The 16,708-nt window shown below is 47.0% G+C and overlaps 1 protein-coding gene and 1 long non-coding RNA gene across 6 annotated transcripts in view; one reads left to right on the forward strand and one right to left on the reverse strand.

Annotated features, from left to right (window-relative positions):
• The window catches only part of CCDST (cervical cancer associated DHX9 suppressive transcript), a 177,390-nt gene that overhangs the window by 20,837 nt on the left and 139,845 nt on the right, over window positions 1-16,708 (forward strand). The gene's annotated exons all lie outside the window — the stretch shown is intronic.
• HRNR (hornerin) lies at window positions 1,937-14,054 on the reverse strand. The gene is made up of 3 exons (NM_001009931.3): window positions 14,004-14,054; window positions 12,977-13,139; window positions 1,937-11,351 (listed from the first exon to the last, which is right to left on the reverse strand). The coding sequence occupies exons 2-3, from the start codon at window positions 13,112-13,114 to the stop codon at window positions 2,937-2,939; spliced, it is 8,553 nt and encodes a 2,850-aa protein (NP_001009931.1). The 5' UTR covers window positions 13,115-13,139; window positions 14,004-14,054; the 3' UTR covers window positions 1,937-2,936.

Raw genomic sequence — 16,708 nt, forward strand, 5'->3', positions numbered from 1 at the left:
CAACAATACTGCACTGTTTTAAATCATATAACTTTGTAATATATTTTGATATCTGATGAGATGAAACTCCTCCCCTTCTGTATCTTGGTGGCTCACATAATGCCAGCACTTTGGGAGGCCGAGGCGGGCAGATCACCTGAGGTCAGGAGTTCGAGACCAGCCTGGCCAACATGGTGAAACCCTGCCTACTAAAAATACAAACATTAGCTGGATGTGGTGCTGCCTGCCTGTAATCCCAGGAGACTGAGGCAGGGGAATCACTTGCACCCACGAGATGGAGGTTGCAGTGAGCCGATATTGTGCCACTGTACTCCAGCCTGGGCAACAGAGTGAGACTGTCTCAAAACAAAAAACAAAAAACAAAAAACAAAAAAAATTCGTGTGTCAAGTTGCACAGAAAGCCTTTAAACAATCAACTTTATTGAGATATAATTTCCACATAATATGTACGATTATGTAAGTTTTGACAAAAGTATATATATATGTAACTACCATTATAATCTACATATAGATTTATTCCATCACCCTAGAGTGTTCCTTTGTGACTCTTCCAGACAGTTCACAAGTTCTACTCCCAGCCCTAGTCAACCACTGATCTACTTTCTATTTTTATAGATTAGGTTTGTTTTAGTAAGTTTCATATAGATGGAATCATAAATATGTACTCTTTTGTGGATGGCTTCTTTTGATCAACGTGTTTTTGAGATTCATCTGTGTTACATGTATCAGTAGTTTATTCTTTTTTTCCTTGCTAAATAGAATTCCATTGTATAGCCATACCACAATTTGTTTATCCAGTCATCTGTTCGTGGACATTTGGATTGTTTCAAGTTTGGGGCTATTATTAAAGCTGCTATAAACATTCATGTAAAAATCTTCAATGTAGACATACGTTGTCATTTCGCTTGGGAGTGGAATTGCTAGGCCCTATAGTAAAGTACACAATCGTGTTGCTTAACAATGGGGGATATGTTGTGAAAAATGCACCCTTAGGCAAACATCAGAGAGTGTACTTACACAAATATAGATGGTATAGCCAATAAACAACTAGGCTATATGGTATAGATTATTGCTCCTAGGCTACAAACCTATACAGCATGTTACTGTACTGAGTACTGTAGGCAACTAACACAATGGTAAGTGTGCATCTAAATGTATCTAAACATAAAGAAGGTACAGTAAAAATATGGCATAAAAGATAAAAAAGGTACACTTGTATAGGGCACTTACCATGAATAGAGCATGTAGGACTAGAAGTTGCTGTAGGTGTCAGTCAGTGAGTGGTGAGTGAATGGGAAGGCCTAGGACATTACTGTATACTACTGTAGAGTGTGTAAACACTATACACTTGAATTACACTAAATTTATAAAAGAATTTCTTCCTCCAGTAAAAATTAACTTTAGCTTACTGTAAATTTTTAGGTTTATAGACTTTTACATTTTTAAACTTTTTGACTCTCTTAATTAACACCTAGCTTAAAGCACGAACACATTGTATAGCTGAACACAAATATTTTTTTCTTTACATCATTATTCTGTAGGCTTTTTTCTGTTTTAAATTTTTTTAAAAAACTTTTTTTGTTAAAAATTAAAACTAACACTAAAAAGTTTTTGTTAAACCAAGACAAATATCGCCTTCTACCTCCATATGTTGTCTCCCTCTAAGGGCTTCAGGGACAATAAAATGTATGGAGCTGACAGCTCCACATTATTGTGTGTGATTTTGGTGTCATATCAAAAAAATCATTGCCAATACCAGTGTGATGGAATTTTGATCATTTTAAAATGAAGTAGTTTGTCTTATTGAGTTTTAAGAATGCTTTATCTATTCTTCATTGTGAAAAATAGAATATTGGGAAATCGCTGTTTGGTTTGGTTTCTAGGATGACCATCTGTATGTAAGAAGTGAAATGAAGCACAGATGAGAAAAGTCTTAGTATTTAATCAACATTTATTTATTGTCAATTTTAATACAATCCGGTTGTTTGAATCCAAAGACTTGAAACAAATGTGTTACAGTCAAATTAAGGAACTATGTAGCAGTGACAGATACTCTTCCTTTTCATCTGGGCATGGATGATATTTTTTCAGGTGGAAACGTTATTGAACTACAGTAGTAGGTGGAAAGCATTGTATTTCCATGGAATAACTCCTCAATATATTTCCCAATATTGAGCAGCCTCTTAGAAATAGGGAGCAAGATCTTTCTGCTGAAAACAAGCTAAAGCCCACATTTGAATGTTTTTTTTTTTCCTGAAATGATAAATCCCTATTCTTTATGAAATAATGCTCTTGCTCACTGGCTTGGGAAAAGACCCTGATGCTACTTTTTTATGCCACTAATTAACTTACTGATTAAATATATACCCAAGAAAAAGGACTTGATGGTTTTGATAAGTAAAGACACTACCGCTGCTGCATCTTTGCTTTCAGAGCCTTCACCTTCTGCCACAATACCAAAAATTGGGACACACCAAACTTGGGGCACACTAAAAATTAGGGTACACTAATTGCTGTAAAACAAAGCTTTGTATCTAGGACTGGTAATGCATTTGTAATATTTTGCTTCTAAGAAATGTAAGGTTAGCTTTGGCACCATCTATAAATGAATGATGAGCTCTCAAAAAGACAACTCCAACTAAACCCAAAGCTCTTTAAAAGCTTTTCATTATTCCTCAAAGTTTAACCCTCATTCTAACAAGTTATTCCACTCAGTATTTTCTAACAAAGTAGCACAAATGCCTAACAGTCTTTGGAAGGAACCCCATAACAAGATATATGCTACAGTTTTAGGCTCTAAAGAAAGAGACAGAAATGCATTGATTCACTTTTAGAACGAATTTCATGATGGATTGCTTGTCTTTCATGATGAATTCATAGATGACTTTCCTATTTCTTAAATTGCTACTTGAGTAAATTGCATTTATGTTTATTATTCACTGATAAAAGTAGCACCTCTGCTCTTGGACATATTCATAGGGTGAAGTGCTACTAGGAAAACTGAGAAAATATGAGCCAGAACTTCCCCCATCATGGTTACTTCCTCCTTTGCAATAAGAATACCCATCTTGCCCTGAGCCACTTCCATGCTGACTATAACCAGAGGACTGTCCTGAGCCAGACCCATGTTGGCCGTAGCTGGAAGACTGCCCTGAACCAGACCCGTGTCGGCCGTGGCTAAGAGACTGGCCAGATCCAGCCCCATGTCGGCCATAGCCAGAAGACTGACTGGAGCCAGAGCCACGGTGGCCATAGCTGGAAGACTGGCCTGTGCTAGATCCCTCCTGGTCAAAGGTTGATGACTGTCCTGATGTAGAACCATGCTGTCCTTGGCTACAGAAGTGCCCTGAGCCACTACCATGCTGACTGTAAGCAGAGGAATGTCCTGAGCCAGACTCATGTTGACCAAAGACAGAAGAGTGACCCAAGCGAGACTCATATGGGCCACGGCTGGAAGAACGACCTGAGCCAGACCCATGTTGGCCGTGGCTGGAGGAGTGCCCCAAACCGGACCCATGTCGGCCGCGGCTAGGGGACTGGCCAGATCCAGACCCTTGTCGGCCGTGGCCCGAAGACTGACGGGAGCCAGACCCATGCTGACCATAGTGGGAAGACGAACCTGAGCTAGATCCGTGTCGTTCACCCCTAGATGACTGTCCTGATCTAGAGCCGTGTTGTCCGTAGCCAGAGGAGTGACCTGAGCCAGACCCATGCTGACTGTAACTAGAGGACTGCCCTGAGCTAGACTCGTGGTGACCAAAGCCAGAAGACTCGCCTAAGCCAGACCCATGTTGGCCACTGCTGGAAGACCGACCGGAGCCAGACCCATGTCGGCCGTAGCTGGGAGACTGCCTTGACCCAGACCCACGCTGGCCGTGGCCTGGAGACTGGCCAGATCCAGAGCCCTGTCGGCCATAGCCAGAAGACTGACTTGAGCCAGAGCCATGCTGACCGTGGCTGGAAGACTGACCTGAGCTAGCTCCATGTTGGCCACAGCTCGATGACTGTCCTGATGTAGAACCATGTTGCCCATGGGTAGAGGAATGACCTGAGCTAGATCCATGTTGACCGTAGCCAGAGGACTGTCCTGAGCGAGACTCTCGGTGACCTAAGCCAGAAGAGTGACCGGAGCCAGACTCATATGGGCCACGGCTGGAAGACCACCCTGAGCCAGACCCATATGGGCTGTAGCTGGAAGACTGCCCAGAACCAGACCCATGTCGGCCACGGCTAGGGCTAGGAGACTGGCCAGATCCAGACCCATGTTGGCCGTGGCCCAAAGACTGACGGGAGCCAGACCCATGCTGACCATAGCTGGAAGATGAACCTGAGCTAGATCCGTGTCGTTCACCCCTAGATGACTGTCCTGACCTAGAGCCGTGTTGTTCGTAGCTGGAGGAGTGACCTGAGCCAGATCCATGCTGAGTGTAACCAGAGGACTGCCATGAGCTAGACTCGTGGTGACCAAATCCAGAAGACTGACCTGAGCCAGACCCATGTCGGCCACTGCTGGAAGACCAACCGGAGCCAGACCCATGTTGGCCGTAGCTGGAAGAGTGCCCGGAACCGGACCCATGTCGGCCGCGACTAGGAGACTGGCCAGATCCAGAGCCCTGTTGGCCATAGCTAGAAGACTGACTTGAGCCAGAGCCATGCTGACCGTGGCTGGAAGACTGACCTGTGCTAGATCCCTCCTGGTCAAAGGTTGATGACTGTCCTGATGTAGAACCATGCTGTCCTTGGCTACAGAAGTGCCCTGAGCCACTACCATGCTGACTGTAAGCAGAGGAATGTCCTGAGCCAGACTCATGTTGACCAAAGACAGAAGAGTGACCCGAGCGAGACTCATATGGGCCACGGCTGGAAGAACGACCTGAGCCAGACCCATGTTGGCCGTGGCTGGAGGAGTGCCCCGAACCGGACCCATGTCGGCCGCGGCTAGGGGAATGGCCAGATCCAGACCCTTGTCGGCCGTGGCCCGAAGACTGACGGGAGCCAGACCCATGCTGACCATAGCGGGAAGACGAACCTGAGCTAGATCCGTGTCGTTCACCCCTAGATGACTGTCCTGATCTAGAGCCGTGTTGTCCGTAGCCAGAGGAGTGACCTGAGCCAGACCCATGCTGACTGTAACTAGAGGACTGCCCTGAGCTAGACTCGTGGTGACCAAAGCCAGAAGACTCGCCTAAGCCAGGCCCATGTTGGCCACTGCTGGAAGACCGACCGGAGCCAGACCCATGTCGGCCATAGCTGGGAGACTGCCTTGACCCAGACCCACGCTGGCCGTGGCCTGGAGACTGGCCAGATCCAGAGCCCTGTCGGCCATAGCCAGAAGACTGACTTGAGCCAGAGCCATGCTGACCGTGGCTGGAAGACTGACCTGAGCTAGCTCCATGTTGGCCACAGCTCGATGACTGTCCTGATGCAGAACCATGTTGCCCATGGGTAGAGGAATGACCTGAGCTAGATCCATGTTGACCGTAGCCAGAGGACTGTCCTGAGCGAGACTCTCGGTGACCTAAGCCAGAAGAGTGACCGGAGCCAGACTCATATGGGCCACGGCTGGAAGACCACCCTGAGCCAGACCCATATGGGCCGTAGCTGGAAGACTGCCCAGAACCAGACCCATGTCGGCCACGGCTAGGGCTAGGAGACTGGCCAGATCCAGACCCATGTTGGCCGTGGCCCAAAGACTGACGGGAGCCAGACCCATGCTGACCATAGCTGGAAGATGAACCTGAGCTAGATCCGTGTTGTTCACCCCTAGATGACTGTCCTGACCTAGAGCCGTGTTGTTCGTAGCTGGAGGAGTGACCTGAGCCAGATCCATGCTGAGTGTAACCAGAGGACTGCCATGAGCTAGACTCATGGTGACCAAATCCAGAAGACTGACCTGAGCCAGACCCATGTCGGCCACTGCTGGAAGACCAACCGGAGCCAGACCCATGTTGGCCGTAGCTGGAAGAGTGCCCGGAACCGGACCCATGTCGGCCGCGACTAGGAGACTGGCCAGATCCAGAGCCCTGTTGGCCATAGCTAGAAGACTGACTTGAGCCAGAGCCATGCTGACCGTGGCTGGAAGACTGACCTGTGCTAGATCCCTCCTGGTCAAAGGTTGATGACTGTCCTGATGTAGAACCATGCTGTCCTTGGCTACAGAAGTGCCCTGAGCCACTACCATGCTGACTGTAAGCAGAGGAATGTCCTGAGCCAGACTCATGTTGACCAAAGACAGAAGAGTGACCCGAGCGAGACTCATATGGGCCACGGCTGGAAGAACGACCTGAGCCAGACCCATGTTGGCCGTGGCTGGAGGAGTGCCCCAAACCGGACCCATGTCGGCCGCGGCTAGGGGACTGGCCAGATCCAGACCCTTGTCGGCCGTGGCCCGAAGACTGACGGGAGCCAGACCCATGCTGACCATAGCGGGAAGACGAACGTGAGCTAGATCCGTGTCGTTCACCCCTAGATGACTGTCCTGATCTAGAGCCGTGTTGTCCGTAGCCAGAGGAGTGACCTGAGCCAGACCCATGCTGACTGTAACTAGAGGACTGCCCTGAGCTAGACTCGTGGTGACCAAAGCCAGAAGACTCGCCTAAGCCAGACCCATGTTGGCCACTGCTGGAAGACCGACCGGAGCCAGACCCATGTCGGCCGTAGCTGGGAGACTGCCTTGACCCAGACCCACGCTGGCCGTGGCCTGGAGACTGGCCAGATCCAGAGCCCTGTCGGCCATAGCCAGAAGACTGACTTGAGCCAGAGCCATGCTGACCGTGGCTGGAAGACTGACCTGAGCTAGCTCCATGTTGGCCACAGCTCGATGACTGTCCTGATGTAGAACCATGTTGCCCATGGGTAGAGGAATGACCTGAGCTAGATCCATGTTGACCGTAGCCAGAGGACTGTCCTGAGCGAGACTCTCGGTGACCTAAGCCAGAAGAGTGACTGGAGCCAGACTCATATGGGCCACGGCTGGAAGACCACCCTGAGCCAGACCCATATGGGCTGTAGCTGGAAGACTGCCCAGAACCAGACCCATGTCGGCCACGGCTAGGGCTAGGAGACTGGCCAGATCCAGACCCATGTTGGCCGTGGCCCAAAGACTGACGGGAGCCAGACCCATGCTGACCATAGCTGGAAGATGAACCTGAGCTAGATCCGTGTCGTTCACCCCTAGATGACTGTCCTGACCTAGAGCCGTGTTGTTCGTAGCTGGAGGAGTGACCTGAGCCAGATCCATGCTGAGTGCAACCAGAGGACTGCCATGAGCTAGACTCGTGGTGACCAAATCCAGAAGACTGACCTGAGCCAGACCCATGTCGGCCACTGCTGGAAGACCAACCGGAGCCAGACCCATGTTGGCCGTAGCTGGAAGAGTGCCCAGAACCGGACCCATGTCGGCCGCGACTAGGAGACTGGCCAGATCCAGCCCCATGTCGGCCATAGCCAGAAGACTGACTGGAGCCAGAGCCACGGTGGCCATAGCTGGAAGACTGGCCTGTGCTAGATCCCTCCTGGTCAAAGGTTGATGACTGTCCTGATGTAGAACCATGCTGTCCTTGGCTACAGAAGTGCCCTGAGCCACTACCATGCTGACTGTAAGCAGAGGAATGTCCTGAGCCAGACTCATGTTGACCAAAGACAGAAGAGTGACCCGAGCGAGACTCATATGGGCCACGGCTGGAAGAACGACCTGAGCCAGACCCATGTTGGCCGTGGCTGGAGGAGTGCCCCAAACCGGACCCATGTCGGCCGCGGCTAGGGGAATGGCCAGATCCAGACCCTTGTCGGCCGTGGCCCGAAGACTGACGGGAGCCAGACCCATGCTGACCATAGTGGGAAGACGAACCTGAGCTAGATCCGTGTCGTTCACCCCTAGATGACTGTCCTGATCTAGAGCCGTGTTGTCCGTAGCCAGAGGAGTGACCTGAGCCAGACCCATGCTGACTGTAACTAGAGGACTGCCCTGAGCTAGACTCGTGGTGACCAAAGCCAGAAGACTCGCCTAAGCCAGACCCATGTTGGCCACTGCTGGAAGACCGACCGGAGCCAGACCCATGTCGGCCGTAGCTGGGAGACTGCCTTGACCCAGACCCACGCTGGCCGTGGCCTGGAGACTGGCCAGATCCAGAGCCCTGTCGGCCATAGCCAGAAGACTGACTTGAGCCAGAGCCATGCTGACCGTGGCTGGAAGACTGACCTGAGCTAGCTCCATGTTGGCCACAGCTCGATGACTGTCCTGATGTAGAACCGTGTTGCCCATGGGTAGAGGAATGACCTGAGCTAGATCCATGTTGACCGTAGCCAGAGGACTGTCCTGAGCGAGACTCTCGGTGACCTAAGCCAGAAGAGTGACCGGAGCCAGACTCATATGGGCCACGGCTTGAAGACCACCCTGAGCCAGACCTATATGGGCCATAGCTGGAAGACTGCCCGGAACCAGACCCATGTCGGCCACGGCTAGGGCTAGGAGACTGGCCAGATCCAGACCCATGTTGGCCGTGGCCCAAAGACTGACGGGAGCCAGACCCATGCTGACCATAGCTGGAAGACGAACCTGAGCTAGATCCATGTTGTTCGCTCCTAGATGACTGTCCTGACCTAGAGCCGTGTTGTTCGTAGCTGGAGGAGTGACCTGAGCCAGATCCATGCTGAGTGTAACCAGAGGACTGCCCTGAGCTAGACTTGTGACCAAAGCCAGAAGACTGGCCTGAGCCAGACCCATGTCGGCCACTGCTGGAAGACCGACCGGAGCCAGACCCATGTCGGCCATAGCTGGGAGACTGCCCTGACCCAGACCCACGCTGGCCGTGGCCTGGAGACTGGCCAGATCCAGAGCCATGTCGGCCGCGGCCCGAAGCGTGATGGGAGGCAGACTCATGCTGACCATAGCTGGAAGATTGACCTGAGCTAGAGTCATGTTGGCCGGAGCTTGATGACTGCCCTGACGTAGATCCATGTCGTCCCTGGCTAGAGAAGTGACCTGAGGCAGAACCATGCTGACTATAGCCCTGTCCTGAGCCAGACTCGTGTTGCCCAAAACCAGAAGCCTGGCCTGAGCCAGACTCATAATGGCCACAGCTGGAAGAACAACTTGTGCCAGACCCGTGTTGGCCGTGGCTGGAGGAGTGCCCTGAACTGGACCCATGTCGGACACGGCTAGGAGAGTGGCCAGATCCAGACCCTTGTCGGCCGTGGCCCGAAGATTGATGGGAGCCCGACCCATGCTGACCATAGCTGGAAGACAAACCTGAGCTAGATCCGTGTTGTTCACTCCTAGATGACTGTCCTGACCTAGAGCCGTGTTTTCTGTAGCCGGAGGAGTGACTTGAGCCAGATCCATGCTGACTGTAACCAGAGGACTGCCCTGAGCCAGACTTGTGACCAAAGCCGGAAGACTGGCCTGAGACAGACCCATGTGGGCCATTGCTTGAAGACCAACCGGAGCCAGACCCATGTTGGCCGTAGCTGGAAGAGTGCCCAAAATCGGACCCATGTCGGCCGCGACTAGGAGACTGGCCAGATCCAGAGCCCTGTTGGCCATAGCGAGAAGACTGACTTGAGCCAGAGCCATGCTGACCGTGGCTGGAAGACTGACCTGAGGTAGCTCCATGTTGGCCACAGCTCGATGACTGTCCTGATGTAGAACCATGTTGCCCATGGGTAGAGGAATGACCCGAGCTAGATCCGTGTTGACCGTAGCCAGAGGACTGTCCTGAGCGAGACTCTTGGTGACCTAAGCCAGAAGAGTGACCGGAGCCAGACTCATATGGGCCACGGCTTGAAGACCTCCCTGAGCCATACCCATGTGGGCCATAGCTGGAAGACTGCCTGGAACCAGACTCATGTCGGCCACGGCTAGGGCTAGGAGACTGGCCAGATCCAGACCCATGTCGGCTGTGTCCCAAAGATTGACGGGAGCCAGACCCATGCTGACCATAGCTGGAAGATGAACCTGCACTAGATCCTTGTCGTTCACCCCTAGATGACTGTCCTGACCTAGAGCCGTGTTGTCCGTGGCCGGAGGAGTGACCTGAGCCAGATCCATGCTGAGTGTAACCAGAGGAATGCTCTGAGCTAGACTCGTGGTGACCAAAGCCAGAAGAGTAGCCTGAACCAGACACATATGGGCCACTGCTGGAAGATCGACCAAAGCCAGTCCCATGTTGGCCGGAGCTGGGAGACTGCCCTGACCCAGACCCACGCTGGCCGTGGCCTGGAGACTGGCCAGATCCAGAGCTGTGTTGGCCGCGGCCTGAAGAGTGACGGGAGGCAGACTCATGCTGACCATAGCTGGAAGACTGACGTGAGCTGGAGCCATGTTGGCCAGAGCTTGATGCCTGCCCTGACGTAGATCCATGTTGTCCCTGGCTAGAGGAGTGACCTGAGCCAGAACCATGCTTACTATAGCCAGAGGACTGTCCTGAGCCAGACTCATGTTGCCCAAAGCCAGAAGTCTGGCCTGAGCCAGACTCATAATGGCCACGGCTGTAAGAGTAACTTGAGCCAGACCCGTGTTGGCCGTGGCTGGAGGAGTGCCCCGAACCGGACCCATGTCGGACGTGGCTAGGAGACTGGCGAGATCCAGACCCTTGTCGGCCGTGGCCCAAAGACTGACGGGAACCAGACCCATGCTGACCATAGCTGGAAGACGAACCTGAGCTAGATCTGTGTCGTTCACCCCTAGATGACTGTCCTGACCTAGAGCCGTGTTGTCCGTAGCCAGAGGAGTGACCTGAGCCAGATCCATGCTGACTGTAACCAGAGGACTGCCCTGAGCTAGACTTGTGTTGACTAAAGCCAGAAGACTGGCCTGAGCCAGACCCATGTGTGTCATTGCTGGAAGACTGTCCGGAGCCAGAGCCGTGTTGGCCATAGTTGGGAGACTGCCCTGACCCAGACCCACATTGGCCGCGGCCTGAAGACTGATGGGAGTCGGAGTTTTGCTCACCATAGCTGGAAGACTGACCTGAGTAGGAGTTATGTTGGCCAGAAAAGTCTCTTTGAAAACTCAGTCTTCTGGATATGGATTCAGTCCCAGGTTTAAGACTTCCTCTGACGTTTCTGGAATAGGAATCATTCTCTCCTGCACTCCAACTTGAATGACTAAAAGAGGATTCTTGCCGTTTGTTCTCCTCTTTTTCAGTTTCTTCTTGTTCCTCTTGGTGCTGGTGAGTGTCATCTCTCAGCTTTGACCCTGAAACTTGGCAGTAATCTTTGCCAATGATTTTATTACGAGCCTGAACCAGCTTGAATATCATCAGAAGATACTCAGTAAAATCCACTTTCTTGTTATGGTCTCGATCCAGACTTTGCAAGATGATATCCACAGTATCTGGATCGTTTGGATTCTGTATAAGAGAAAGGTACAAAGAGTAGCTCTGTTAGTATGGACAATACATCTGGCTAACGAACTGAAGGAAAGATGTGAAAATGTAAATGTTTGGGTTATTTATATGGAACTCATTCACACAGTCCTTTAGGCTGCATTTCTGTATCCTGAGCAGAAAGAGAAAAAGGAATATGGAATGAATAATGTGGTGGGAAACAGCTAGAATAGGATGCAACTGGAAGATGAAAGGAAACAAGAGGGCTGATTATTTTTGGTAAAGAATGGGTCAAATATGAATGATTAGCTAATTTATAAGTAATATGTTTTTATACCTACATTAATTATATCAACTTTATTTATCCAATTAAATTAACTAGCTACTTAATTTACTCACTGAACAAAGATTTATTATTTTACTAGTTGCCTACCATTATGTCATATGAGAGTATAAAGAAGTGAACAAGTTTGCTTCCTGAAAAAAAATGGAATTTAAAGTTTAGTTGGCCAGATATACAAACTTAAAATTATAATTTATTGTGGTAAGGTTTCTACAAGAGTACATCAGAGAGGAAACATTGGGGGTCCTAGAAAGGTTAATGAGAGGAAATGATGCCTTTTGAAGGATGGATTAGGATTAGCCAAATGAAGAAGTAGGAAGAGAAAGAGAAGGGGAAAAGATTGTTCTAGGCAGAGGGAATTATATGAACAAAGGGCTAGAGGTGAGAGAAGTTATGGAGCATTCAAGGAACTGAAGGAAATTCAGGATTGCTAGATTTAGAGTTTGAAGAGTCAAGAAATGTGGATAGAGAGACAAATAGGGACTAGATTATGACTTTTAAGTTATGTTAAGGAACTTTGTACTTCATTTTAAGAGCAATTGGGAACTATTGAAGGATTTTTAGCTGAGGAGTGAAATGATTATATTTGCATCCAATGCTGAGAGTAGAAGTAGTAGGTGGCCTGAACCAGAGGACTAATAATAGTGATGAAGAGAAATGGGTTGTTTTGAGAGATTATTGATGAGTTAGATGGAGGTTAGAAGGTAGTGGTGTCTGCTGAGAGAGAGACAATAAAAAATGACACCAGGTTTTTGCTTTGGGCAAAAAGATGAAGGAAAAAGGTTAGTGGGGAAGATTATGAGATTCATAGCTGACACACTGAATATCTGACATCTGATATCTGAATATCATATCTGAAATCCACAGAAATCCAAATTTAAGGAATTGAAACTCAGGAGTCTGATATAAGGTCCCAAATATCTAAGCTATCAAATCTAGACCTGACAGTTTTAAGGTGGTGGACACATTCTTTTGTGATTCAGGAGTAAATGCCAATTTCCTGAACTCAGAAATCTACTTCACAGTTTTTCTGAGGACTGTCTGGGTTTGTAGGAATTAGTCACTTAGATAGGACATTATTTAACCTGTGGGTTTTGTTTGTTGTTTAGTAAGGTCACTTCCGTTAGTTATGCTATGGAAACCATCACGGATCTGCTTTTGACCTTATCTCAAACTTTTACCAAACCCTGTTCTCTCTCACCAAGTAAGGACAATCCTCTAGGATGTTTGACATATGTGACAAGAAGGTGGAAAGGGATAAAGAAGAAAATTCCTGCATAACTCCATCCTGGCGTGGAGTTCTTACCTTCAGAATTTGATGAAACTCATTTTCCAGAAGTTCTTTCAGCTCTGCCTTGTTCAACGTATCATACTCCCCATGCTGGGTGGCATATTGGTAGAAAACATCGATGACAGTGATGACGCCTTGTAGGAGTTTAGGCATTTTTTTTTTTGCAAGTTTGAGTAACCTAAAGGGAGGAAAAAGAGAGACCAACCCCTTACTATTCTTATTTCTTGTTTAAACACATAAATAGTTCTAATTATTTATAATAATTGTTCAGAATTAGTCAGTCATGATTAAATTCATTCTGTTGTAATCAAGAACCAATTCAGAGTTGAATGACTTGTTCAAGCCATGTAGCAAGAGAGTGATGAAATTAGGAATATAATCCATAGGTCTTATTTCCATTCCTGAATGAATGTAGGAAAAATGACTTTCTGTTTTTGGCTTCCTGCCATTACCAGGGATAATATTAGCTTTGTTCTGGAGCTGTAGAAGTCCTGAGTGTTCCACTTCATCTGCTTCCTCTTTCTAGGTTCGAAGCATACTGTGGGCATAGGTCCATCATCTACATGACATGCCTTACTCAACCTAAGGAGCATCAATGGCTGAACTGAACTCTCAAGACTTCTAGGTCAGAGAAAATAGACAATGTGAGCAAAGCCAACAAGCCTAGGTGATATGAAGCTAAGGGTAACTGCTATTAGATCCAGCTTCTGTTCTCATTCTCCAAGCAGGAAGTGACCCTCAGACCTTATTACACAATAGAGAGGAAAAGCTCAGTTGTAAAGAAGGCAACCTGCCTGTGGATAATTAGAACCCCATGATATCCATGTTATAAGGGAAGCGACCTCAAAGAAAGGAGATAATATACATAGTCCTAGTCTTTGTTTCATTTTTCTTTTCAGTAAATTTAAACTTATACCAAAGTTCCCCAGAGTATACTAAAAAGAAGCCTTGTATCTAGTGCCTCTTTGCCTTAGAGCACATCCTGGACTTTCATAATTTATAGCCCTAAGTACCCTTGAGCGGAGTTGAACTGCTCACTTACCTAGCTCACCAGAGGAACAAGTAGGGTAGAGACAGAAACAGCTTTCAGGGTGCTGCGAGTTGGGCAGAGTGGCCTTTTTATAGAGGGAATAATGGTCCCTCTTAGGGAGGAGTTGCTAATTTTGAGATGTCCTAATTTACTCCTAAACAAGCCCATCTCCACCTCTATCTCCACCTCCCAGGTGTTTACCTTCTTCCTGACTTCCTTACAGGTTCACCTAAGATTGCATTAGCAGTTCCCAAATCTGGGCTACTCTCAGCCCCACCTGCCAAAGGGTCAGGACACTGCAGAAAGGCCTGTTTTTGTATTCATCAAACTATCTAGCACAATATATTGACAACAAATTGTGTGGATTTTAATAGAAGTTGAATGGAGTGTGTGCAGGGACATCATGGCCCAAATGTCAAAAAATCATGGAAATTGATGATTAAAAGGACTGTAAAGATCATCTAGTCAAACTCTCCCATTCTAAGCTAAATGTTCTTAAATGGTATTCCAGCCAAAGTGTCATCTTTGGTATTGTTATTACCTTTTGAATTGGATAATGGCTCCAGGCCATCCTTTAACTCATTAAGTACCTCAATTTACCAGACCCCTTATTGGCCATTCATCACCATAGCTTTCATTTCAAACACCATATAACCTTAGGAAGAAATGCGTGCTTGTTAGCATGGTATCCATGGTTCCTCATGATCTGGGCTGTGGCTTTTTTCCAGCTCCATTTCTCCCCTCCATATTTCTCTTTGTACTCCAACAGTAATTAACTAGTAATATTTCAAACTTCCTCAATATACCATGGGATATGTTATTTCATATTTTTTCTTAGAATGTCTTTCCTCATTGTCTGCCTAGTGAACTAATTATTCTTCAAAATCCAATTTAGGCTTCCCATAGAAAATCTTTCCTGAATTACTCAAGAGGGAGTTGTAATTGTGTACCTTATTCATATTTATTGTTGTATCAATCATACTATATTGTAATCTTTAAAAATTGTTTTACTATACAATTATTGTTTAATATAAAAATTAGAAAATATTGATAAGCAAATAAGATAAAATCAAAATACCTTTAAAGCCACTAGCCAAAAATAACTACTGTTAGTTATTTGTTGTATATCCTTGCCTTTCACAAACACACACATTCACACACAGACACACACATTTGTCTATGGGCTTATTTCATTTCTAGGCTATGAGCTCCTTGAGAATAAGGAATGGACATTATTTATCCTTATGTCATTTGGAGACCTAGTATACTGCTTGTCACATAACGGTCTCCAATAAATGTCAGTTTGAATTCATTTGAAAGAGAAGCAAGGATCAAGACTATAGTCCTCTGCATTGGCCAACTTCCATCTTTTCACAGGAGGACTAGGGTCTGCCCTCTCTCTTGCCATCTTTGCCTCAGAGGACATGATTTTACCTGAATATAAACGGAATCTTAGCATTGAGAATCAATGAGTGGCTTTCTGCTTTTTTCTGAGGCCCTCGCTCTGCATTTCTTCCATTGTGAACATATAACACAAATTTCACTGAAGGTGTGTGAAGTTACATGGACTTAAAACTTGTGCAATATGGTCATCAGGATTTGAGAAGGTGTGGTAGCAACTGTTGGCAAGTGATAAATTACATGATTCCAAATTCAACTATTGTTAGGCTATGTGTTTTCTTTTAAGAATTGCCCAGAGGGCTGCAGAGTCAGTATCCATTCTGTAGCCGTGTTTCCTCTGGACATCTGATTGGGCCAGGTTTTCATGCTTCATCAGAACAATGACTTTTTAAAGGTGTGGCTGAGACTGTGGGAGTAAAGGGGGGTGGAATTTGCTGAGTGAAGACTGATTTCCTGCAGGAACCAGCTGTTGTCACGAAGGGAGGAGAGGGTTGTGAGAGAAGACTATTCCAGGTGAACGTGCTCTTGGGGCTAGTGTTCTCCTGAAATAGGGGCCAGCAAACTTTTTTTTTTGTAAAGGGCCAGATGGTACAAAATATTATCTCTGCAGGACAGATAGTTTTTGTTGCAACTACTCAACTCTGCTATTGTAGCATAAAAGCAGCCATAGATGATATGTAAACAAATGAGCATGGCTATGTTTCAGTAAAACTTATTTATCAATACTGATCTTTGAATGTCATATAATTTCACATATCATATATTTTTTCAACCGCTTACAAATGTAGAAAACCTTTTTATCCTGTAGGCTACACAAAAATGGATGACAAGCTAGCTATGAACTGCAGGCTGTAGTTTACCACTCTTTGCTCCTCTTCTGTATTTGCTTTTCAGGAAGATTCTCTGGGAGAGGAGGATCTGAGAGAAAAGAAGGGCTGAAAAGTGTGGGACATCAGAACCACTAACTCTTGCATGAGAGAACAAGAGTGAAGGTGAATTTGTAAATATCAGCATGTGTGGGGTGGTGGGGAAAGGGAACAGAACAAGGGACCTTTGGCTGCTCGTAAAAGGGAGATAAATTTTGATTTGATGTAAGGGAGAAATATTTAATATTTGCATTGACTGAAAATGCAGTGAGCTCTTTGTGAAGTAACTGAATTTATTGTCAAGTATCATATGAATAGTTTTTTACTATTAAAGAAAAAATTAATTCTTTCATTACGTTGTTTTCTGGATATGCTCACCAACTAGAATTTTGTTGGGCTTTTTTTCCTCGTTTGTATCATGAAAATAAGAAGCATATTACATATGCGTCT

Source organism: Homo sapiens, chromosome 1 (assembly GCF_000001405.40).
Source record: "Homo sapiens chromosome 1, GRCh38.p14 Primary Assembly".
NCBI classification, from domain to species: domain Eukaryota; kingdom Metazoa; phylum Chordata; class Mammalia; order Primates; family Hominidae; genus Homo; species Homo sapiens.